Source organism: Homo sapiens, chromosome 2 (genome assembly GCF_000001405.40).
Source record: "Homo sapiens chromosome 2, GRCh38.p14 Primary Assembly".
NCBI lineage: Eukaryota > Metazoa > Chordata > Mammalia > Primates > Hominidae > Homo > Homo sapiens.
The window spans coordinates 182,063,962-182,091,603 of NC_000002.12; the positions used below are offsets into that span (position 1 = coordinate 182,063,962).

General features: G+C 35.7%; 1 protein-coding gene across 6 annotated transcripts in view; it reads left to right on the plus strand.

Annotated features, from left to right (window-relative positions):
• The window catches only part of PPP1R1C (protein phosphatase 1 regulatory inhibitor subunit 1C), a 176,906-nt gene that overhangs the window by 109,482 nt on the left and 39,782 nt on the right, over window positions 1–27,642 (plus strand). The gene's annotated exons all lie outside the window — the stretch shown is intronic.

The following is a 27,642-nucleotide window of genomic DNA, read 5'->3' on the forward strand; positions in this document are numbered from 1 at the left end:
AAGAGTAAAATATGGGGTTGAAAAAGAAATAGCTAGTGATCTCAGAATTTCAGTCTAGAAATTCAGTTTCCAAAATAATGACAAAGATTTTTTTTTACCGTTATTCGCATACTTCCTTAAAGAGATTTTCCCAGAAGCCCTAATTACTCTTGCCAGTGTTGGCAGATGATTACTGTTTTTCTCTTGGCTAAAGCAAAGCAGAATAACTTGAATTTCAGGGAGACTGAGGATGAAGTGTTGCCTCATTGTATTGTGTCAGGAGCAGCTCTAAGAAACTCAATCAAACCAGCTATTCACTGTACATGTAACTACTGTTGAAACAACAACTAAGAATCTAGTTCAGATTCTGAAATTTTCCCCAGAATTGGAACTGCTAAAAGAAGACCTGTCAGTATCTTGACCAACATCAGTTCCAGGGAAAGCATCTCTTATTTCTCACACTGAAATGTTCTTGATTTGAGGTAGAGTCTGTCCAGTCTACTCTCTCATGTTTTTTCCAGTCTGGTGCTTGGGCTGTGGGCCCAGTGGCTGATCATACTCAATTTGTCCAGCTCAGTTTCAACTGCATGAGAGGCCAGCTGAGCAGCTTCCTCTGGAGTTTGGAGAGAGGGCTAAATTGGGAGTGAAATTTCCCACTCTGTATTTGCTCTAGATTTGGGGCCTATTCAGGGAGGCGGGATATAAATGGACACATTAATAGCTACTTTCAGTAGACTTCCTTCCTCATGCAGCTATAAAACACCATGTTTGCTTGTTCATAAGACTGCAGAACATAATACAATCATCAGCATTGTAGTTTATTCCAGGGTAATTATTGAGACTACTAGGCATCTCTCTCTGAAGATAAGTTTAATCATTTTAAAGATATTTTCCCCGTTGTAAGTGATTTTGTACTTTCAAGACACATCAGTTTTGGCATGAATGGGCAACAAGGAAAAATATATGTTCACTCATTTAATGATTTCCTCTGCTCTATTTTAGGTTCACTTAAACTAAATAAAGTAATACTGTTCTCATGTCCTCAGAGAATAATACTATTATTTTTAAAGGAAAATCTTAAACCGAAAGTCTCAAGGGCCGATGATGTTCATTATATTTAGTTCTCAAATATCAAAAGAATGTGGGATCATAACATTTAGAGAAGTTAGTCCTGTTACACATTTTTGCATAAAGCCTTATACTCTCAAGTCTCCCCGAGATACTCATTTAATGATAATCATTTGTGGTCATAAGTTAATGGCTTGAGAAAGCACAGTAATTGTTTCAAGAGGATATCAGGGTATTACTACAAGTCACATAGGTTCTCATTTATAATCAGAAATGATTTGGAAGTCCCCTGCTTATGATAAAAGAAAAGAGAAAGCTAAATGCAAATATTTTATTTGGTTTACCTGTCCCTAAGAGCTAGAAATAAATATTTTAAGACAAAATGAAGCAATGGTAACATATGGCATCTTGTGAGCACATCAAGAGGCTTCAATTATAAAAAAGATGAAAGAACAAAGGAAATGTTATTAAGATCTTAAATATAATGATACAATTGCTCTGAAATGTATAATTCTTCAAATTGCAGTTGAATGGAACATGCAGTTATTGAGTGTAAAAACATTTGCTGAGGGCACCATGGTACATGCTTATAGTCTCAGCTACTTGGGAGGCTGAGGTAGGAGGATGGCTTGAGCCCAGGAGTTGGAGGCTATAGGGCATTATGATTATGCCTGTGAATAGCCACTGCATGCCAGCCTGGGCAATATAGTGAGACCCAGTCTCTAAAAAAAATTCTAAAAAGAAAAAAAGAATTTGTACTCACAGATCCTTGTTCTACATCTTGTCATTTGTGAATTTTTAAATGACAGATATCTAAATATTTCAAGATATCTATTAGGTCTTTGTCTCATGCTAAATTTTCTTTTTTCCAGGTTGAAATATCTTGATGTCAGTTATACCTGTTATTTAGTTATTTTGCCTTCATTCTTGATCTTATAATAAGCTCCACTTTGCCTGTATCATTCTAGAAGTCCATCATTCAAAATGAATCTAATGGTTAAGATGTGTTCTGATCAGAAACTTGTGGAGACTTCAATTATGCCTGAAACCTCCTTCAACCCAGATACTTTAATTCTATTAATGCAACCCAAAATCTTATCAGCTTTTTGTGGCAGCATTACACATTGTTGGCAAATAGTGAGCTGACTATAAAATCAAAATGTCCAAGTATTTTACAGGTACAGCTTTCCATATTATTCACCATGTATTCCCCATACTGATGTCTTAAATTTGTTTATATCAGAAACTAATACAGTACTGTCATCTCAATTGAATTGCCTATGTTGGAGACAGATTGTTACATCGGCATGTTATATTTTGTATCCTGACTCTATTATTCATTCTATTTTCAGCTATCTCAATTGTGTGTCATCATAGATAAGATAAACCTATTTTGTTATTTTTATCTGATCCATAACAAATGTATGAAACAAAACACAGCTAAAAGAGAGCCCTGCAGCAGCCCATATATCCCCTTCTAATTCACATTGATCCCCTTGTCACCATCATTAAACCATTTATCAAATAGACTTATTATATCAGGGTTCCATCCCTTCATCAGAGGTTATCATCAGCACTCCTATTAGATAAATTGTTGTATTTCAGATGCCTTGTGCTAACCATGAGTCATAAATTTATGATATATATTGTGCATAAAAATGACAGAAGTTGAAGTTTGCATAGAAAACAGACTTTTTCATTATCTTGTGTAATATTGTGTTTCATGATTATGCACAGAAAGTTCAGATTATCAGAAAAATGACAGCTGATGACTAATACCCACGTACATTTCTCTGGTGTTTATATGGTGGTCAGCCCTGTAATTTACAGAACAGCCAATTAAATTATTGTTGGACTGCTTGAATCATGTTTTCAGAAAAGTGGATTTGGATGTTAGGACAGGAAATGGCTGACTCATTTCTATCCCAATTTTGTGTGTGTGTCTGTGTGTGTGTGTGTTTGTGTGTGTGTGTGTGTGTGTGTGTGTTTTACTGGAATGCAAATGCCTTCTACTGAAGAAAGCAAAGTAAGTGCTATTGATTTAAACGGAAATTGGAACATTAAACAAAGCAGCTGACTTAAAAATGACTTTGTAGAGCAGGGCCTATTAGTATTGCATTACCATTCTTAATGCATAGCCAGTCAGATTTTTCATTTACTTCTGTAAAACATCTTTTTCCTCCCATTCTTCATGATTTCTTGTAAAGACTTCAGTATCTAGATATTTTTCTTCTAAGTCAAACAGACTTCTGATATGTCAAAAATACCTTTGTATGCTTACAGCATTTTAACACTGAAGCTTTTTTTTTTCTCCAAGGATGGCTATGATCTTGATTTTTTTTTCAACCCCTTCTCATAATAAAGAAATAAATACAAATACAGAATAAATCAGAGAGCAAATCAACCTGGACAAATAAGAAGGCTAACATGGATTTTGGAGGGTGGAAGATGAAAGTGGCAATAATGGCAAGAATAAGACGTACTTCAGATCACCAAATGAAACATGATCTTCCAATCAGGGAAAACTGCTGATCATGGTGATTTCCTGGAACTCAATATGAAAGGACATGGACTTTGGCGGACAAGCCATCACGGTTCCACCCTCAATGCCACCACTTATTAGCTGTGCAACCTTCAGAAAATCAATGGGTTGTTCACCCCACAAAACAACAACAAAGAAAAATATATTCAAATATGCTGGATGTATTTGGGAAGTAGAAATGAAGATTATGACCCAAGACGCACAGTTAAGGCAAGCCACATATGCATCCGCAGTGGGAAGGGTAAAGGGAAGTTTTATTGGCACAGGGGGAAGTTCATGTAAGGTACTTGGAAACAGAGTTTATTAGTTTCGGACACTCAGAGCCAGATTTGGCATCAGTTAATTGCCAATATAATTGAATGGCAATTTAATTACATTGCTGGACATACCTGTCCAGTAATGGCTGCAGATGCCATTACTGAACCGGTATTCTTTTGAGAACATCTTATCTGAATTGCAGTAGTCCTAAAGAAAGAATTTCTTGGGAGGTTATTTTAGCAAGTCCTTGAGACAGTCTTTATCTCAGCCATATAACATGAACTCCTCCTTTTGGCTTTTTGCTTTAGTGTGTTTGGGCCTGACAAAAAAGTGATTTCATCCTAGTATCTGCAACTTTCACAGGATTAGCCTGTCTCACTTCTCTCATGGGGAAAATGAAAGTGTTGTTTACCACATATGATTGCTGTAGGGACTGAATGAAACAAAATGTGTAAAGAAAATGCTTAGATCAGGCACACAATATGTGGAACTATTTTGAATAATTATTTGAACCCTGAATTGAGAGTGGCGAATACTCCTCCTCCGTTTCTGCTTCACCCTGCAGCATGAAGGAATGATTTTGAGAGAGACAGAGGAGAGGTGAAAGGACTTCCAGGAGAATAAAATAGCTTTGTTTTCATCCCAGTGAGACTTGAAAAGTCGGGTTTAAGATGCCTAGATGTAAAATCCATGTGGATTACCACGCTTGCAACATTCACTCCACTTTTGTTTAGCACTAAGCCTCAGGTCGGCGTGTGAAGTTTATCTTCAACATTTTGCTTTCTTTTAAACAAATGTGGCTTTTCCCTCATTTCACCTAGCTCCGGTCCTCAGACATCATGTCCTTTATTTTCCGACTATTATAACATTCCTGTAAGAGATACTGATATTTCAATTAATAAGCCTTGCAGTTCAAAAAAGTTGAAAAACAAAATGATAGCTGATGTTGAATTTTGGGGTGCTATAGCAGATTATGCAATAAATATTTCTTGCCAGAGGGATGAGAAGGAAATCATCACACCATATAAATGCAGCCTACGCTTAGGCAACATAGGTAAATTAACCATGGCTGTATTGGAATGTGACCAGTTCACTCTTCCTGATTTCAAATCTCCTTAAAATTATGACTCAAAAAAACTCTCAAAAGGAATAGACTGCTGTAATATCCTGTTCTCATTACCCGTCGCACATTGAAAATTGAAGGCAGGAAGAGAAGGCAGCAAGATCTCTTAGCCTCTCATCAGGCCATCTCCACCACACTACATTCCTTTTATAAACACTCCTGTCCCTCTGTGGGTGTTCTTCAGGTATTCATCACATTTTCCTTTCTAAATCTTGGCTTTTTTGTTTGTGCTGGCTCAGTTTGTTTACTGTGTAGGGTGGGGCATATTTATGCAGCTCAAGAAACATTTTGACAGATTTCTAGATAACAAGGAACATTCTAAATATATACAAGTCTCGCTTTCTTTTTTTTTTTTTTAAACCCAAGTATGCTCCTATTTCCAGACCCACTTCCTCTGGTTCTCTTTAATTTCTTCCACTGAGTTTTATGCTCATCTTTCCTCACATCTTTGGATGTGGAGGGTGGAGTCAGGTTGGAGAAGCAATTTGAGAATGTACCTTTCTTGCAAGTCACTAAGGTATCTTTTTTTTTTTGGAGGTCAACATTGAGAGAGAATGAAGGAAGAGGAAAATACCAGCAAGTATGGGTGAACTTCATCTTTTATGACATTGTCATGGATTATTAGGTTAAAAGGTTTAAAAGACCTTGAGATAAATCAAATTGAATTGCAAATTTAAAACAGAGTCCAGTAACTTAATTAATCTCATGTGATGCCACTTAAACATTGGAAAAGAAGAGCACCATTTGTCAATATGGTTCCATTCATTTGTCTATATATATGTTAACCTATTTTAAAATTAATTAATCTTTTAAATTTATATTTCTCTGTATAAATAACATAACAGCTTTTAAAATTGCTTTCTATTTGAGAAGCAGGGAAAAAGATAAACTTTTGCATTGGGTTTGAATAGCTGAATCAAGAATCAGTTTCTTTAAATATTTCCCAAATAAGCAAATAGCAACATTCAATTGTGTAAGTACTAATAACACACTGCCACAATCACATATGAGCCTTTGCCATGTGTGGAATGCTGCATTAAAGTGGGGTGGATGCAGAGGTGAAAAGCAGAGCCCTGGCCCTGTGGGAGACCAGTCTGGAGGAAGCAACATACAAGTGGATAGAGCATAGCATGGTAAGTCCTTTAATAGGGATTTAGACAAAGACATCTGGAGATGGGAGGAGACTCGCCACAGGCTTACTGGACAGGAGGGTAAGGCCACTTTCAGATCACAGAAGGGACAGTCATATTTACATATAAGTCTGGAGAGTAAAATGGACTAGGTCATGGAAAAGTGGAATACGTGGCTCATACCATGATCATTCCTCCTGCTCATGCACACTTGTGAAGCATTTAAGATGATGCTGTAATGTGGGCAGTTAAATTCTGCATGGACCATCACAAAGAACTTTGCTGCCATGCAAAGACTAAATAGGTCTCATTAATGGGACTATGTAGATAATATCACTTTCCAAAGCATTTGAAGCCCTTGTTCATTTGATTCCAATTTAAAATTTCTGCTTCACATCTTTGTCTTTCTTCTTAATAATATTACCTTTAAAACAGAATAAATCCCAACCAAAATTACATGTTTTAAAGTTAGATTTTATATTTTAGAACAGGTTTGGATTTGTAGAAAAATTCTGAAGATAGTACAGAGAGTTTTCATATACCCCATATCCAGTTTTCCCTATTATTTATGTCTCATGTTAGTATGGCACAGTTATAATTGGTAAATCAATAGTTGTATAAAACAGTTCTTGCATTGCTATAAAGAAATACCTGAGACTGGGTAATTTATAAAGAAAAGAGGTTTAATTGGCTTATAGTTCCACAGGCTGTACAGGAAGCATGATGCTAGCACCTGCTCGGCTTCTGGGGAGGCCTCAGAAAACTTGCAGTCATGGCAGAAGGTGAAGGGGGAGCCAGCACTTTCCATGGCTGGAGTAGGAGGAAGAGAGGGAGGAGGGGGTGCTACACACTGTTAAACAACCAGATCTCACAATAACTCCCTCACACACTATCAGGAGAACAGCACTGAGTGGGTGGTGCTAACCCATTCATGAAGGATCCACCCCTATGATCCAATCACCTCCCACCAAGCCCCACCTCCAACACTGGGGATTACAATTGTACATGAGATTTGGATGGGGACACAGATCCATGCCTTATCAATATGTATACGTTGTTATTAACTAAAGCCCATATTTTCTTGGTATCTATTTAGTTTTTTTCCTAATGTCTTCTCTTCTATTCTAGGAATCTATCCAGCATACCACATTATGTGTGGTTTCATGTCTCCTTAGGCTCCTCTGGGATGTGACAATTTCTCAGACGTCCCTTGTTTGTGATGACCTTAAACGTTTTGAGGAATACTGGTTAGGTATTTTCTAGAATATCCCTGTACCGGGATTTGACTGATGTTTTTCTCAGGATTATATTGAGGTAGTGGATTTTTGGAAGAAAGACAGCAGAGATAAAGTAACATTTCATCCCATGATACGAGGGGCACATACTACCAATATGGTTTATCGCTGTTAATTTTGACCTTGATCACCTGGCTGAGGTAGTAGTTTTGGAGATTCTTCACTGTAAAGTTATCCTTTTTTTACTCCGTTTCCATACTGTACTCTTTGGAAGGAAGTCACTGTGTGTAGTACCCATTTAAAGAGTGGGAAGCTGCACTCTACTTCCTTGAAGGAAATGTCCTGTACACACATAAATCATTTGAAATTCTTTTGCACAGATTTGTTTCTCCTCCTCCATTGATTTATCTGTTCATTTATTTTCATCATTATGGACACATGGATATTCATTTTATACTTTGGATTATAACTCAATACTATATTACTTACTTTGTTGCTCAAATAGTTCCTGTTTTGGCCTTTGGGAACTTTTTCCATTGACTCCTGTGTCCCATTGACATATTCCATTAATGTCAGGGTGTTGGTTTGTTTTAGAATATCTTTACTTTCTGGGACTACAAGATTCTCTAGGCTCATTTTATGTATTTCTTGTCCCAGTCCTAGAACCAGCCTTTTCTCCAAGGAGCTCTCAAATATAATTTGAATTCCTATTTGAGTCAGTATTCTACAAAATATATGTGTGAATAAGCATGTGGTTGCTAAAAATGGAGAAATCTATCTCCTTGCAAAAATGTGTGTACACCACGTCCATTAATGTAGGCGCTATCAGTATGCTAAGGTGTACACACTCCACTCATACTAATGCTAATAGGAATCTCAGGAAGTAAAAACAATTCCTCATTACTAGAATAGGCAGATGCCATTTTTATGGACTTGCTCTCCTTTGTTTTATGCCTAATGGAGTGTTCCCTGATGTTTTCTGAGATGAGATTTGTATTATCCCTTTATAAATGTGGAATTAATAATAGACTGGCAGCCTTCTTGACGCTTAGCTGTTTGCTTTACTTAAATCAAAGATTTTAAAAAAGATGTTTATAATACCTTACAGTTGTGTAGTGTAGTGCTTCAACATATACAATGTGCTTTTGTATAATTATTTGGCTTTTATAGAAAACTATGAAAGGTAACTAAAATAGTTTATTTTGGAGGAAAGTGTGGATTACAGAGGAGCAGGGTTCCCATGTTAAGTGTCCTTCCCCTTTACAAAACTAAGTCATGACCTGAGCCTTTTTTTAGGGTGTCCTATGAAGTTTTGTTAGAATAGCAACGGGCCTCATTTTTTCCATTTGCCCATCTATCCTGTTTGCCCTAACTAAAATACAGAGACCATGCAACCTTATAGCTTGATGGAAAATTTTTACAAGATCTTTTTATACCAATGTTTTTACAAAATGCTTGGTATCTTTGTTTTTAATAATTTTAAACTCGTGTTATTGATCCTTATGTAATAACAGTTTTGTACTCAAACCAAGCTTGCCTTTAATCTTGTCTGTCTCCAGCTTCTCTCCCTCTCCCAGACAGCTGACCACACAAATCTGACTGTTTTGTTTTAGATTCCTTCAAGTGTTCACTAATTCCTTTAGAGTAAGTCCCTGGAAATGATGTACAGGTCTCTTTATGACCTTGCCTCTTCACTCCTGTCCTGCCTTGCCTCCGGCCACAGCCTTCTTTTTTCCATGCTGCAGCAATGCTGAGCTGCATTCAGTTCTTTGAAAATAATACGTGGTTTCTGGCCTCTATGCTTTTGTTCTGCAGTGTTATTTACATAGAGGCGTTTCTTCGTCCGCCTTCCTGCCAGTTCTAAATCCTTTTAGCTGTGCTTCTTTGAGACTGAGAATGCATTTTATATACCTATATATGTGATATCTGTAATTCCTTCTAGCTAGACTGCGGAGCCCTTGAGGGCAGGGCCCATGTCCTATTTGTCTTCCAGGAGCATTCTGATCTGTCTTCTATTTGAATTTTAGAAGACTCCTAGTCAATGGTGAATCAGTGAGTAAATAATCTTTCTGATTTAAAAATAAGCATCATTGGCTTAATTTTAGCCACATTGAACAAAATTATAAATTCATTCACTGACTCACACCTTCATTCTAGACTCTAATAAAATGCTTGCTGTCTGTCTTCCAGGTCATTTATTAGGCTCTTTTAGTTCAAGATAAGCTAATACAGTCCCTGTTTATATGAAAAATGTTGTCAAATGAAAAAGAAAGTTATTTAAAAAATTGTAACTTGTAAGTTCCCTGAGATTGATATGGACAATGACATTAGAACACAGAGAAGGAAATAGCTGGCACTTCCTGTCACAGCTAGGGAAGACTGTACAGAAGAAATGAATGGCATCTGTAAGTTGAGGGATGAGTGAGATTTTGCTAGAGAAATATCAGGGGTAGATTCCAGAAAGAGGGTTTGGCAGACCTGAAGGCACAGAATGTGAATGGGCACGTGAACTTTGAACACTGTGGGGTGGGGGCAGAAACTGTGGAGGAGAAAACACTGAACAGATGCAGGGGACTTGTCAAAGGTCTCCTGTGTCCTGTGCAAAAAAGTTGGGATTGTATCCCGAGACAATAGAGCACTTTTGGATAATTTTGAAGATTGCTTGACACGTTGCCATATTTCTTGTGAGTGCTTTGAAGATTTGGGACCAGGGCAAAAGGACAAAGTAGTTAAAAATTCTTCTTCTTTTTTTTTTTTTTTTTTGAGACGGAGTCTCACTCTGTCGCCCAGGCTGGAGTGCAGTGGCGCGATCTCGGCTCACTGCAAGCTCTGCCTCCCGGGTTCACACCATTCTTCTGCCTCAGCCTCCCAAGTAGCTGGGACTACAGGCGCCCGCCATCACGCCCGGCTAATTTTTTGTACTTTTAGTAGAGACGGGGTTTCACCATATTAGCCAGGATGGTCTCCATCTCCTGACCTCATGATCCGCCCGCCTCAGCCTCCCAAAGTGCTAGGGTTACAGGCGTGAGACACTGCGCCCAGCCAAAAATTCTTCTATGATAAGTTGTATTTGCCTCAGTTTATCTGCTTGTTCCCAGTGCTCTTATTTCTACAAGAATGGACAACTGTTAGCACCAATCTTTCTTTTTCTTTCATGCATTTAGACTTTCTAAGTAGTAGCTATGACTTTGATATGCCAAAATACTCATCATATTTTCTTCCAGAATAGATCAATTGAAATCCTTGTAAAATGTGTTAAAATATAAAAATGTCAAGATAAATTGAGAAATTGGTTCTTAGTGGGGCAAACTTAAGATTACATTCTTCACAAACTTGTCCTGGTCTATAACATTTTCCCTCCTAAAACTTTATATTCTTGCCTGAACTTCAAAAAGGAGCCTGATCTGCAAGATAATTTTAAGAACAGTTTTATTAATTCCTTTCTCAATAGGCTGTCATGACAAAATACCCAACACCTCAGTTGTGGCAGAACTAGATGCACTCTTTCTGTTGAGTGTTTTCTGTGGGACAGTAAAGATACCAGCAATGCTGTCAAACAGTATACAAATATTTATTAAACTTGTACTCTGTGCAACATTCTGAGATCTGTGTTACTTTAAACAAATTAACTACCAAATTCTAAACACCCTAGGTCAGATTTTGAGGAAGGTTTACAGTTTTGGATTTTTCATTAAGAGAAAAAATACCAAGCAGGATAAGAATGTTCAAAGGTTAGAATTTCAGGAAATTGCTATGTGCACAATATAAAAATTATGTGATAAGCATTGAATTTATGATCTGTATTCTACATTGCATCCTTTCTGGTATAATTACCAATGGGAGCTATGTTGTACTTTCATTATCCTTGGTAGGTATACTGAAGCTATCATTTTATTCTTTTTTATGTATAAATTTGTCACATTTTATTTTCAAAACCAAACTTAAAATGATTTTAATTGACTTCCAACAGGCGATCTTAGGAAAAGATTCTCCCATGCTTTCATCCATGTAATACCCACAAGGCAACTCATTTCCAAATACAGCTAAAGCTAGAATTGTTATAGAGCCTCTGAGAGCTTGAAATGGCTATCATTTGCCTTCTGAATCTGAGGCCATCAGCAGCCTATTACTAAATATTTAATTCTTAAAAGCCAGTTGGTCCTCTTAGACCATGGCAGTCTAAGAACCAATGAAAAGGAAGTAGGAAGTAGAAGTAAGGCACAAGATGGCTGCAGGAGATATGAGAGCAGGCTGCCTGATGAGCAGAGGCAGAAACACATAAAATTTACACACCATCACTGCGTAGGACAAAGATGATCAAAACAATGATTCAGTCACTAAGAAAATAATTACACTATTTCTATTGTAATGCATATTTTAAAAGGCAGGAAAGTGGTTTGAATCCCACTTTTCAAAAGCATTTTTAAATTCTTGTTGACAATTAACTCTATGCACTACTCTATGTCCATTTCAGGTTAAACTATGAAGTCTGAGCATCTCACTTCAAATTTTGGAGTTTCCTTTTGGGTTTCAATTGATAATCTTGAGATGATAAGCTTTGCCTCAACTTACAGTACTTCTGTGAAAAAATATATTTTATGTATCAAAAATTGTCACTGGATGATAATGCTCACATTATGTAAAAATAGGTCTCAAAACATATTTTTGTGTGGCAAAAATAAAAAAATTAAAGTAGTTTAAATGCTTTTTTTAGTATATGCTTATAATGTATTATTTTATCTTTAAGTTTTACATTTAGTCCCACAGCTTATTATGTTGATTTTTGCCTTGAAAAAGTTTACTCTGTGATTGTAGGAATTAGTCTGGATCTTTTAGAACAGTTCTTAATATCTCTAAAGTTATCTATAAATCAAGGATTTTGAACTTTTTTTTTTCTTTTCTTTTTTTTTTTTTTTTTTTTTTTTTTTTTTTTTTTTTTTTTGAGACGGAGTCTCGCTTTGTCTCCTGGCTCACTGCAAGCTCTGCCTCCCAGGTTCACGCCATTCTCCTGCCTCAGCCTCCTGAGTAGCTGGGACTACAGGTGCCCGCTACCACGCCCGACTAATTTTTTTTTTTTGTATGAACTTCTATAATAGAAAAAAGGGACCAAAAGAGAAATCCTCTCCTACTGTCTGTTCATCTTTTTTAAAAATGCAAGCAAGAAGTACTTGTTCCTGCCTTTGATGTTATTGAAGAAATAATATATGTAAAAATCAGGAGAATGGAGGGAAAGAGCATTGGATCTGTGATTTCATACACTGCACTCATTTATGCTTTAAGTCCTGATGGTTAATGAAGTCAATCAGAACCCCCCCACCCCAAACCTCCTAACTCTACCATTATTCCTTGATGTAATTCCCTCTTTGTGCAATAAGTTAATTAGTACTTTTACAATAATTTTCTTCAAAATACTTTTCTATTAATCTTTCTCAATTATGTATGGCTGTAGTATCTTGCTTATGCTATTTTCTTCAACATTTTAATTTTTCTACTATTAACAAACTTAATTGGATTTTAAATAACACATCTGTAAATCCTACCACGAAGAAATATGGAAGAGTGTTGTTTGCCAAAGATTCTTAGCCTATCTGATGTTGATCCCTGTATACTCCTTTGTACCAGTCTTACTCATCCTAAACTTTGTAAAAATAATAATGGAATTAGTTTTTCTTTGGGCCTTTCTTAGAAGATGGTAGGCAGTGTCATTTGATTATTATTAATTAATTTTTTACAGTTACTTGGGCATACAAATGTGTCCTAGACATAATGAAAACTTCTAGTCTACCTTCAAATTTTTAGAAAATTACTACGTGAATACTCATTTGTGTAAATGAAAACGAAAACTCTCTTTTATGACCTCAAAGAACCTCAAAGAATGGCAAAATAGGTTTCAAGTTTCAGATATGTAAACATTGCTACATTAAACTGTTTGTTTTAAAGTAACATAAAATGTCATAAACTTACTTTTTTTGGATTAAGATACATTTTGTGAGAGCTGAACCATGATAAAAAGGAGAAACGCCTGATCGTCTTAATTTTTATGTGAATCGACTTTAATTAACATATAAATGTTTTGAAAAATATCACAGGGCCTCACTGGCAATGTCAAAGCTTTATTTCATTTTATTAAGATTAATTAATTGTTGAATCACCACATGTCCCATGTTTTACTTATAAGGCCAAACCAAAGAATTCTTTGCATCTATATCAGCATCCTTAGCTTTTCAGACAGGCATTTTAATCTCTTCTGATCTCTGAGATAAATATATTTTTTCACGTAATTATGTAATTACTCAATAGACCAGAGCAGATCCCATGGAGCCACTGCAGTGTGTGCTGTATAAATAATGTTCTGTTCTACCCCTGATAATTGGCCAGTAGAGCCTCCTAGGAGAGTTTTTATCCCTTGAATAAACACTACATAGGCAAGGAGGGTTGACTCAGTATTTTCTTCATTGGCAATGAAACAGAAGCACTTCACACTCAGTGCTTATTAGATCATTTTAAAAAGAACACAGTGCTTATGACCCTACAGCTCCCTCTGCTGGTTCACAAAGTTTAAAAAGTACAAGTAGAAAATAATGTTTAAGAAGTGGAACCCTTGCCGGGCGTGGTGGCTCACGCCTGTAATGCCAACCCTTTGGGAGGCCAAGGAGGACGGCTTGAGATCAGGAGTTTGAGACCAGTCTGGCTAACATGGTAAAACCCCTATCTCTACTTGAAAATGCAAAAAAATTAGCCGGGTGTGTGGCGCACACCTGTTGTCCCAGCTACTCCGGAGTCTGAGGCAGGAGAATCGCTTGAGCCCGGGTGGCAGAGGCTGCAGTGAGCTGAGACCGTGCCACTGCACTCCAGCCTGGGTGAAAAGAACCTGAGCCCCTTAGGAGAAAAATATGTCATTTTTGGTATGAAATGGGGTTAAACTAAGGGAATAAGCAACAGAAAGTCTTCTTATTTTTATGATTATTAAATTGTGAGCCACCTTACTCACCATCTGTCTTTAATCATCCAAGCATATGTATTCCTGTCGTGTCTTACTTTTTGCAGTAAAAAGCAGGCTCTAGATAGAGTAGGCAGGTATTTTTTTCAGGACAACCGTAACCAAAGTGAGCTTCATGAGTCTATCAGCCCCACATTAACAGCTCTATTCCTTCATAAGGCAGATTATTATTCATAGGGGTCCTTAAGGTACCTTTACTCCATATGAAGGAGTGGCAAATGAAAGATGTAAAGAAATGAACATCTTCTTCAGACTGACTAGTTAAAATCCTATGTATCTCATCTTTCTGATATTGATAACCACCTTCATTTGGTACGGGAAAAAATAGCAGAAAGAAGGAGAACTGGAGTAGGAGAAACGTGGGCTTGAATCCCAGCTCTGACAATTCAAATCTGTGTCGTCTTCTTCCAGTTATTTAACCTTTATACTCTTTCTTGTTCACATCTATAATTTGAAGATAACCTCAGAGAGTCATGTGAGTGAAAAATAAAGTAATATATGTATAGTGCCCAATATGTAGCAGGTGTGTTTTAATTGTAGTAAACACTACTCCTGAGAAATCTGGGTTTCTGCCCCAACCAACAGAATGACACAGAGAATGTCAAAGAGAAATCATTTCCCTTCCAAACATTCTGAAAGTATGGCCAGGCAACATACAGTCAATCATATAAAATACATAGTTTTTATTTAAAGAAGTTAATGTGATGTGACTTTTCCATAGTTACACAATCTGCAATCAAATTCTATTTATTTTTTGATATGGAGACAAGATCAGAAATATAGTTGACTCTACAGAATTGTAGGTTCCAGAAACCATTAAATCAGGCTATAAAAGAAGCTATGTAAACACTATATTCTGATGAAGAGGATTTAGATAATGAGTTGTAGAGGTTGTCATAGATTATTACAAATAAATTCACGTCTCTGATAGCTCTCTATTGCTACTTACATAGCAGATGTGTTTATTTTAGTATATTAGGTTTTGACAAGACAGTAAACAATGGTTTTATAATCTAATAGCTAGATAAGGAAAAATGGTTTGAGCCTAATGTCTTACGTATTCTGAACAACAGTTTGCCTTCAGGTAATGCTGCGCTGTGTCTTGTTCCCTATACACAGGTTAGGTCATTCTTTATTATCAGGTAATAAAAAATAATAGAGGAAGTATAAGCAGTGGCTAAGTGCAAAAATCTGAAGCCTGAGAATCTCAGTTTGAATTCTAGTTCCATTTAACTGTCTGACCTTGAGAGAGTGGGTTGGATGCCTCATCTGTGCTTCATTTTCTTTGCTTCTAAAATGGAGGTAATAAAAGTGTGCACTTTGTATCAGTTTTCAAGGACTGCCTTAATAGATTCCCACAAACTTGGTACTTAACACAAAAGAAATGTTTCCTCTCACAGTTGGTGAAGCTAGATGTCTAAAAACCAAGGTATCAGTAGGGCCATGCTCCCACTGAAGGCTGTAGGGAAGATTCCTTCCTTGCCTCTTCCAGTTTCTGGTGGCCCCAGGTGTTCTTCAGCAAGTCCTCAGGTGTTTCTGGGAGTGGAACTCGTTTCTGTCTCACTCTTCCCGTGGCCTGCTCTTCTGTGTCTCTGTGTGTTGTTTCCTCTTCTTGTAAGTACATCAGTTATTGGATTTAGAATATTGGCTACTTCATCCTGTCGAGCCTCATTTTAATTACATCTGCAAAGGCCTTATTTTCAAATAAGGTCACATTCTGATGTTCCAAGTGGACATGAATTTTTGGAGGACACTATTCAACCCAATACATACCTCACTGGTTTTGAGGATTAAATAGGTTGCTATACATAAAGCACTAGAACAATGCCTGTTGCAGAAGTTTTAGTTAAGGTGACTTCTAAAATGCCATGCATAGTTCAAGCCATTTCCAGTTTCACCTAAGTTACAGATTTCCCATTGCATATCTTCTCGACAGCACATCCCCCAATAGTCTGCTCTATCTTAAACTTAAGCCATCTAAAACTGCCTTTATGTTCATCCCCAAACGAAAACCAGGGGATCCTCCAATTCCTGTAAATGGTATCACTATCCCCCATTTGCTCAGATTCAAAGCCTCAACATCATTTATAACGACTTCGTCTTCTTTGTTGCCATAACTAATCAACCTTTTGGTCCTGTAGAGTGGATCTTGAGAGAAGTTCACTTGTTATATTCTCATTTCTCCTTTTCCAGGTCAGGCTTTCTTTAACATTCACCCAGATAAAAAGCAGAGTAATACCGTAACACAATACATCACGTAATACACATTCACACATATTTCAGATAGAAACAGAACTATATTTCCTCTAATTCAGACTATATGTCTATTTAATGACAATGAGAAATATGAAATATCCAGTAAGTTGGCCTTATTTAGTGGCCCTGCATACAAGCTGACTCATTGCAGAAAAGGAGAAGCTTTAAGGGGAAAAAAAAAGGAAAATATTAACTGCTTCTAACCCACAACATTTAAATAAAGCCATTTTAATATGCATTGATTATGTTCAGCCATTTTATAGCTCTGGCCTCAGTTTTCTTATTGGTAAAATATGACCTTGAGAAAGTTATTTAAATTCCCTAATCATAAAGGTACATACTCATAAGGTTTTCGTAAAAATGAAATGAAAAAACTGTATGTAAAATGCTTCAGCATAGTACTATGCCCCTCATCCATGGTCAAGAAATACTAGTCATTAGATATAATTTTAGCATCATATTGACATAAACTCTTTAAAACTCTTACACTTATTTGGTTGCTACTTCATTTGATGATTAACTTCATTTAAAGCATATTTCCAGGTTTGATTGCATTTTAACAAGAGAGTGAGGTTTGTGCTCAGTGTGTGCAGTTGTTGGGAAGAATTTGGTTTCTACATCTTTAGCTGCTATTGGGCAAATGGAGAGGTAAGTAGTATACTCTTTCTGAGCATAGTGCCAACTGGTGTCCATATTTATACAAAAGGGGGTTAAAGGGAACGAGAAAAAGCACACAGTAAGCATTCAACAAATAGCGGCTATCAGTATTGTATAATTTTTTTTCAAGTTTCAGTTTCCGGGTGAATACAAATGAGTGCCTTAACCTCTTTTCAGTCTTCTTTCAAAGAGAAGATTCAATACATTGCAGTTGCAGTAGTTATAGAAAGTAGCTAAACAGAGAAGAGTAGAAAATTGTGATAGAAAATTTGAAATCCTTATATTTCTTTTGCTAGATTAATCAACATATATTCAGCACCTATTGAGTGTTGATTCTGAAAAGCATTGATCAGATAAAAGTGATCATTTAGTAAAGCAAATGAGAGAAACTTAATTCTAAAATACAGCTATCAGAGTTAACTTACAAATGAACTTCGATAACTTCTGGATGCATTTTGTAAAAAAAAAGTATTGTGTCATATTAAAATATGTCATAATAAAAACTCCTGCACTTAGCAGGAATTACATTAACTATGTCTAATGTGTGCGGTTGAAAAGCCACTTCAACCACTCATCACGTACACCTCATATCCTGCCTGCATAAAAGGCTGTGCCCATTTCACTATGGATATAGATTTGTTTATCCTGCATATTACCAATTCCGTATGTCCACATAAAAAGTCATAAATATCAGGGAGAAAAGCTTCATGTGCAGAAACTTTGTAGTTAATGGGAAAGCAAATACCAAGTTCTGACTACATACCTCCCTATGCCTATTTTTTTTAAAAAAAGGTCTTTTTTATTCCTGAAGCTTAAAGAAATAAACAAAAGCTATTACTTTGACAAAGCAGACACCAACATAATGAGATTTGAGCAGGATTCTGTATTTCCCTTTATCTACCACTCTGTTTTCCATAAGGGGACACAAAGACATTTTTTACACTTAATCTTGTGAGCTAGTTAGGAATTCTCACTTCACCCATGCAAAGAATAGAAACAAACTCATAAAGCAACAGATGAATGCATGCATGTGAAATTGGAAGTCATTTGCATTTAAAGTGATAGAACTTAGGTAAACAGAGGGGATGCATTTAGGATAATATTTTCTTTCAGGACTCAAAGTTCTCAAAAGAAAATATCTCACCTGGTTTTCAAGCAGGTTTCAAATTATGTTTGACAAACATGGGACATCGTCTCTAAAGCATGTGTGCACGTGTCTGGCATAAAATCAAGGGTGGAAAGTTACCCTGAAGGTCAAACGGACAAGGTTTTCTGAGTTTCTGCTTGGCCTGGTAAGACAGCCTTGGTCATGGAGGAGGCCTGATTCTGAAGACTGGGTCAATTCTGTCACTTGCATTTGTTTACTGCCCTGCCTTCGCTGGCTCTGCATCTGAGTCGCGGAAGAACATAGACTCAATAAGTACTGAATATATGTTGATTATTCCAGCAATAGAAATATAAGAATTTCAAGATTGATCTATTTTAACAAAAGCACTGTTAAACATTGAAGACCTAAGTAATATTACTAGAGGATCTCTCTGATCAACTATAACATACAGGCAGAAAGGGCATCCTTTCCTGTGTTGCCCCAGACCACCCTTTGACTTGGTCACAGAAGGATTCCAGTTAGCAATGCTTTATGGAGCAAAAAGGTACCTGTTGGGAAGCTGCAACACTTGGTGGAGTCTAATAATACCCAGCGGGAGACCACGGTACCCGGTGGGATAGAATCAACACAGCCCAACTGGAATACAGATATTTGGGAACACTGTTAGATATGTATACTCAGAAAAGCCTTGGAACATGACCAGAGCATAATAGATTCTTAAAGGGGCCTTAGGTGAGTCCTAGAGTCAAAAAGAAGTTTGAGGTATTTGTGATATTAGAATCTCATAAATTCTCCAGGCTGCTAAAGTCTAGAAGTCAAGTTACAAAAGAAAGATTAGATTATTGTCATACTTTCAATTGTGTACAAGTTTTTGGTTTCAGTCTTCAAAACAAAGATTTGAATAATTAGGTTGAAAGTGAATTTTTTCATATATATTTATTTTTATTTCAATAGTTTTAGAGGTACAGGTGGTTTTTGGTTACACGGATGAATTGTATAGTGGTGAAGTCTGAAATTGTGATGCTGCCATCATACAAGTGCTGTATATTGTAACTGATATGTAGTTTTTTAGCTCTCACCCCTCTCTCATCCTGCCCATTTCTGAGTCTCCAATGTCTGTTATACAACTCTGTGGCATAATGTATACCCTTGTGGACCTATAGCTTAGCTCCCTCTTGTAATCAGGAACATATGGTATTTGGCTTCCCATTCCTGAGTCACTTCACTTAGAATAATGGCCTCCAACTACATCCAAGTTGTTGCAAAGGATATTTTTTTTCTTTTTTAATGCCTGAGTAGTATTCTACAGTGTATATACACCACATTTTCTTTATCCGATCATTGGTTGATGGGCACTTAGTTTTGTTCCATATCTTTGTAATTGTGAATTTTGTGCTGTGATAAACACATGTGTACAGGTGTCTTTTTGCTATAATGACTTCTTTTCCTTTGGGTAGATAACCATCAGTGAGATTGCTAGATCAAATGATAGATCTACTATTAGTTCTTCGAGAAATCTCCATACTGTTTTCCATAGAGGTTGTACTAATTAAAATTTCCACCAGCAGTGTATAAGCGTTCTCTTTCACCACATCCAAATCAGCATCTGTTACTTTTTAACTTTTTAATAATTACCATTCTGGCTGGGGTGAGGTCGTATTTCATTGTGGTTTTAATCTGCATTTCCCTGATTATTAGTGATGTTGAACATTTTAAAATGTTTGTTGGTCATTTATGTATATCTTCTATTGAGAGCTATCTATTCATGTCATTTGCCTAATTTTTAATGGGATTATTTGTGTTTTTTTTTATTTTATTTGTTTGAATTTCTTGCAGAGTCTTGTTACTAGTCCTTTGTTGGAAGCACAGTTTGCAAGTATTTTCTCCCATTCTGTGGGTTGTCTGTTTACTCTGATAATTATTTCTTTTTCTGTGCAGGAGCTTTTTAGTTTAATTAGGTCCCGTTTATTTATTTTTGTTTTTGTTGCATTTGCTTTAAGTGTCTTAGTCATAAATTCTTTGCCTAGCCAATGTCCAGAAGAGTTTTTCCTAGGTTTTATTTTAAGATTTTTATGATTTCAACTGTTAGATGTAAGTCTTTAATCCAATTTGAGTTGATTTTTGTATGTGGTGAGAGAGAAGGACCCTGTTTCATTCTTCTACATGTGGCTATCCAGTTTTCTCAGCGCCATTTATTAAGTAGGGTGTCCTTTCCCCATTTTATGTTTTTGTATGCTTCATTTAAGATCAGCTGGCTGTATTTGGTTTTATTTCTGGGTTACCTATTCTGTTTTATTGGTCTATGCATCTACTTTTATGCCAATACCATGCTGTTTTGGTTACTATAGCCTTGTAGTATAATTTGAAGTTGGCTAATGTGATGCCACCAGATTTGTTCATCTTACACAGAGTTACTTTGGCTATTCATTTTTGTTCTTATTAATTTAAGGATTGTTTTCTTAATTCTGTGAAAAAATGATGTTGATGTTTTGATAGGAATTGCATTGAGTCTATAGATTGCTTTGGGTAGTATGGCCATTTCACAATATTGATTCTTCTAATTCATGAGCATGAGATGTATTTCCATTTGTTCGTGTCACCTATAATTTTTTTCAACAGTATTTTATAGTTCTTGTAGAGATCTTTTACCTCCTTGGTTAAGTATATTCCTAGGTATTTTATTTTATTTTTTGGCAGCTATTGTTAGAGATTAAATTGTTGATTTAATTCTCAGCTTGGTCATTGTTGGTGTGCTACTGATTTGTGTACATTGCATCATATAGTGATACTGATTTGTGTACATTGATTTTGCTGAATTCATATAAATCTAGGAGTATTTTGGATGGATCTTTGGGATTTTCTAGGTATATAATCATATCATTAGCAAACAGAGATTGTTTGACTTCCTGTTTTCCAATTTGAATGCCCTTTATTTCTTTCCCTTATCTAATTGCTCTGGCTAGGACTTCCTGAAGGTAAAACTTATTTTTTTCTTATCTATTTTACTTTGCAAGTTTTCCCTCTGTACATCCATCTGTATACACATAAACACACACACTAGTCTCTAAAAAAGTAAAATGTTATGAATATTCATCCTTTAATTGTAGAAAATGTGTAGTTACAAATTTTTTTCTAAAATGTTTATCAAAAGTATAAGTAGCTTTACCCTTCAGCCCCCATTCGAGTATGAACGTGAATATGGGTGCCAAAGATGGTACTTCTAGAAGATAATTAAATTCTGGTTCAATTTACTTTAGACAAAATGGGAAATGTCTTATCTTTTGTTGCCTCTAGCTTTTCACACTAAAAACAAACCCTAAAGAATTTGCTGCATGTAATGTTTTTGCTGCCTAAGGCAACTGTCTGCTCTGGCTATACAACAGAATCTATTCTAGTTATATTTGTTGAAGTTCAAATATTTGTAGTTTATTTTCAATGAAGAAATGACACTGCAACATGCCACGGGGGAAACTTGTAAAATGGGGCGGGTGAGCAGGGAACAGATAGGAAAGCTAATCACATAACACACATGTTTGTTCTACTTTGCCCTCCAGAATATCTTAGTTTTCTGGTCAAATGGAAATGTATTGATAAATCCATAAGAAAACCCCTAGATGGGTCATAAAGTAAAAAATTTTAAATGATATCACAAAATAACACAGAAGAAATATGTATACTAATCAGATATTAGATCTGGAAATATAAATATATTTACAAAATGTGTTTAAAATATAAGTGCAAAGTTAAGATTTTATAAAGAAAAAAACATGAGAAACAGGATTATAGATACCAAGAGGAAAATATTGCAATAGCTAAAACATTATTGAAAGATAAATGACAGACTAGAAAAGAAGTAGAAAAAAATGTTATCATCATTATATCAAGAGCTGTCACAAGTTAAGCTGTCATAAGCTAACACTTTAAAGGAAAGATGAATAAAAGTTGTAAACAGGCAATTTATAGAAAAATGATTGTGTTCCCAAAATAAAAAAGTTAAATCTCATTTATAATTGAAAAAATATAAAGCAAAGCAATCTACCAATTTTGAATTTTTCTTTAAAAGGATCATACTTAAACTTTGTAAGAGTGTGGGAAAAGATACACTCATGCATTGTTACAGAAATGGAAATCGATACCACTTTTTCAAGAAACAGAAAAACAAGTGACCTCTTGTTATAGGATTCTGCATTTATGAATCTGTTATAAATGTGATGTGAGGAAATTGCATACCAGAAAACATTAAGTGAAAAAAGCTGGATTCATAATTACCTGTATATTTGTATTATCTGCTGTATGATCTCAATTTTATAGAGAAAACGGAAGAAAATACAGCAAATATGCACAATAGTTACCAGTATGAGAGACTGTTTTACACCAAGATAGGAACTTAAGAATTAAAACTATAAGGCTCTATATATGTACACTATACTAATGAATACATATATGTATCCCTGATATGAAACATATAAATTCATTAATTAACACAGTAACTGTCTGTGTAAGACCTGCTATATGATTGGTCTGACAGAGATCTTAAACTTAACACGTCCCTGACAGAAACCCAGATTTTCTTCTGTCCCCTACCAGTATCTTCACTACAGGGGAGAAAATACCAAAAAAAAAAACAAAAACACTTCTTTCTCTCAGTTAATGGCCTCTTCATCCTTCTAGTTGCACAGGCCAAACACTTTAGTCTTTTTTATATTTCTTTTTAACTCTCACATTTCACATCCAAGCTACCAGGAAATCCCACTGGCTCTACCCTCAAAAAAATATACAATTACTTCTCACAAAGCCAGTTGTTATCATTGTTGTTTGAGCTGTCGATAGTTTTCACCTGGACTACTGCAGTAACCTCTAAATGGGCCGTATTGTACACCTTTGTACACTGCAGTTTATTCTTAATACATCAGAGTGATTCTTTATAGTCCTCGTAATGCCTGCAAGGCCCAGGAGCTGTAGCCTGTGACCTGTCTGACCTCTTGCCTGCCACTCTCCCACCAGCTTGCTCTGCCTGAAGCACCTGGCTTCTTTGTTGTTCCTTAAAAATGCCAGTCACCCACTTGCCTTTAGGGTCTTTGCACAACTGCTGAATTCTGTTCCTCTACTCTATATTTTCCCATGCTGCTTTCATCTTTTTAACAAATTTTATCATTTACTTATTAATCACATATGATGCTTAATATCTGGACTTTCCCACTAAAAATAAACTCCATAAGGTCAGGAATTTTTGTTTTTTGTGTGTGTGCATATTCCAGTATACCAAAGTATGCCTGGCACACAGTAGGTACTCAGGAAATATCTGTTGAGTGAATGAATGGACTCTGAGTGACTGTGACTATAAGCTCCTTGAAAAAGTGACCATGTCTGTTTTGGTCATTAATGGATCCCCAGATCCCAGCACACTATTTAGCACTTGGCACTGAATAAATGAAGGAGAATTAGATGTGGGTTGTTCAACCGTGACACAACTTTTGGTCAGAGTCCATAGTTTATAATATCATGTATTTTTCTTTGTTGCTCAAAATTGGAAATACTTACAAAGCTTTATAAGCTACACAAAGGTAATGCATAATAGTTAATGAGCTCTCACAGGGCATAACCATAGGCTAGGAAGTGGAGCGATGGCATTCTAGTGCTGCAAATGATGCAATGAAAATGACCTGATCCAAATGCTGTCACCATCTTCCAGAAGAAGAATGATCTCTTGCTGGCTTTCTTTTAAGTAATAAGATTATTTTTCATAGCTTTCAGTAGTTTTTTTTTTTAACTTTCATGGAAGTTTCCCTCTGACTTTTTATTTTGAAAAATTTAAAGCCTACATCCATTTCCCATCTGCAGACAGACACTGCATGGTATTTAAAGATTTACGGGTAGATCTCTTAGGTAATTGCCTTGAATGTTTCCCTCTGTGGTTTGCTGGGATAACCAGTGAAGATGCAAGCAAATCTTATAACAATTCTCCATTTCCTACTCAGGGCCTTTACTATCAGTAGATTTTGAGCTCAATGCTTTAGGCTATTAAAAACAAATACTTCTAACATGTTCTCGGACCTCTTGCTGTGAAAATCTTCTAGTCAATGATTAAATTTCAAGAGCCTGAACCATCACTAAACTAGTAACCATTGTTGGATAAATTTGGGAAGAGGTTTGTTGATGCTCATCTAAGCAGCCCCATATGTGGAGTTTGTTTTTCTCCTTGGTTATCAGAGTTTGTGGGTAGCAGTCAAGGCGATGGGGACATAGAATGAGGCTGTAACCAAGGAATACATGTTGGTGACTTCCATGACTAGTAAGAGTTTGGCAGTGAGGCAAGGCTAATGGGGGGTTTGGCAGTTTTCTTATCACTTGATTCTTTTTGCCTTGGAAAGTTGCATCGGTATTCCAACTACACTGACTATTTCTTTTTCTCTACTTCTTAGTAATGTGTTCTTCCCTTAGTCCTATGTGTTTGGTTTAATGTAATTAAGACTAATACAAACCAATTTGCTAATAGGATTACTAGTAGCAAGCACACTATAAATATGCTTAGCCTAAATGAATCACAATCATTCCCTGGTGCACGCAACATTCCTTATTCAACATTCCTTATTCAAATTCATTTACTCTATCTTAATAAAATCCCAATAGGAACTAGAAACTCTAGGCCTTTTAAACAGAGTCAGATAACCTCAAATGCTAGAGAGGAAGAATAAATAGAAATTTGGACCTTCTTTTATCTAGACAGCCAGGTCAAACTGGCCCTGTGCAGGACCACCATTTATTTCTTGGTTTTGTAAACTGAATCCTGTGATTACAGTGGAAATCCAGCTCTGTTCAAGAATTTTTTTCAAAGGCATGTCCAGCTGGAGCCAGACAATTCTGAAATAGATCCCAGCTGTTTGGATCATCTGAACCCGAGAATAACTAAATGCTGCCACTGAAAGCACTATCAGTAGTAAATTCTCATTTGAAGTTGTAGGTAGCTAGAATGCCAAATCCTTAAAGACCACCCCTATTTAGCAGCAGCTTGGAAAGGGTAGTAGAAGGAAGAGATTAATTCTTACTTGTGGTTTTAACTGGCCCAACTACCACAATCCATTTGGTAACTAAAATTTGTTCCAAGCATGAGCATGCTTAGATGGGCATATTTCAAAGTTGGAAAAGCTGGCCCTTTTCTAGGAAATCTTCAGATTTTTCTAACTTTGAGTTAAATGTTTCATGTATATCTTCAATAATCATAATTGTTTATGGATTGTGTATTTTGTCTCATATTTAACTTCTTTATCTTTTTATAAATGCAAGCAGGTATAGATATTTCCATAGCTAAAGTCTCATTTTCATTACACATACAAAACAGGTATTATTTAAAACAACGATATTCAAAGAGTAACATGGTAGATAACTAGAGGGTAGTTTCCTTTATTCACAATAATCATCACTACACTGTTAATTAATCTGATTGTATTTTGTCTCAGTCATATGCTTTGTTACTAATAAGATAAATAACAGTACATATCAATTTCTAAAAATTAGGTTTTATAATTTTGTTCTCCAGGTAAATAAGCCTCATAAGTTTTACTCTGTACTCATCATTATCTTCTAATGGCATAAATATTTTACAGCAATTTTAATATATTTAAATACAATTTTTAAATGCTTATAATATATTATCTTTTTATACTTACATATTCATAAGTAATATATTTGAATTTGGTTTTCACCTGAAAGTCTAACCAAAAGCAAATCTTTTCAAATATAAATATTTAGTCTCTCAAGAAATAGATTCATTTTCCTTTAGTATACGTTCTGTACACTTAATTTGTTCATTCCTATCTATGTAGAATTAATAAACCTATCCTACAAAAATACTCTGTGTACAGATGAATGCTAATTCTAATTGGGCAGCCGTTTGGAACTAAAGCCAAAATTCATTTTATTACCTGATATTATGTCAAACTACAGTTAAACAATTCTCTTGAACTATAAATTCTGTGTGTGTGTGTGTGTGTGTGTGTGTCAGAGAGAGACAGAGAGCAAGAGAGAAAAACTGAGAGAGAGACAGAAAGAGATGAAGCTGTGTAGTTCGATATGCTTTCTTAAAATAAGGCTGTGGGGAGGTAATTGGTAAAGAATGTTTTCCCAATCTTAAACAAGTAGTAAATTAGGTGATATTTTCTATTTATAACCGGTAAAAACCAGACAAGAATTTCTTTCTGCTACAACTTGCTGAACAGAGCATTTAAAACCTTTAATGACTAGATGAGTTCATTTTCTTTAAATGCTGTGCTTAATATTTAAGCTACATCTTATTTGAAATGTTAGTTTAGGATAAATAAATAAAACATTCCAGATGCAATCTTCCAGCAACGACATTCCAGCAATTTCCCTGAGAATAAAGTCAGAGAATATTCCAGGTTTTGAACGTCAAGTGTTTTCAGATGATAACTAGTAAGTTTTCCAAAACATCTAAAGTTTCAAACAAAAACTTTTAAAAAGCCTTTTCAAAAAAAGAAAAGAAACCAAATTCTCCATTTACACATGTACAGTCTTCACAGTTGAATGAGAATATAAACCATTACTTAAAAACATAAAAACTTTAAAGTTTGAGAATAAAAATAGACAATCTACTTCCTAGGGCAAGTGGAATTGTCCACAAGTCCTACCTTCCTTTCCCAGAAACAAGTAATCAAAACTGTTAACCAAGACCAGGATTAAAAAAGAATAAATGAGCTAATAGTTTTGGACATGTTGAGTTTATAGTGCCTGTATTGATGAAGGACTTTTCTTCAACCTTAAAGGAGTAATAAATTACCTTGAGCAAATAATTTCACTTAAATCTATGTAGGAAAAGCAGAAAAACAGAGCACAAAGGAGACTGAGAAGGAGAATTAATTAAAAGTAGTAGGGAGACTGCCCCACACCCAGAAGAATTATATCTCAGAAGCCAAGGGAAGTCAAATATTCAGGAAAAAGTGAATACTTAACAGTGGCAAAGACTGAAATATGATGAAATATTAAAATGTAAGAAACACTAGTTGGGTTAAGTGAATCAAAGTCTATCTATAAACAATTTCAGTAAAGAGATTGGGGTGTAAATCACACTGGATAGGTGGATGAGTGAACAGGCGGTGAGAAAGAGAAAGTGGAGCCAGCTGCAAAGACAGCTGTTTTTCTTAAAAAAAAAATAATAAAAAAAAAAGGTAAATACACTAGTAAGAGGAATGTGCAGGGTTAAAGGATTTTTTTATTTGCTTGCTTATTTCTAGGATAGAAGATACTTGAGTTATGTTTTGTAAACTGAAGG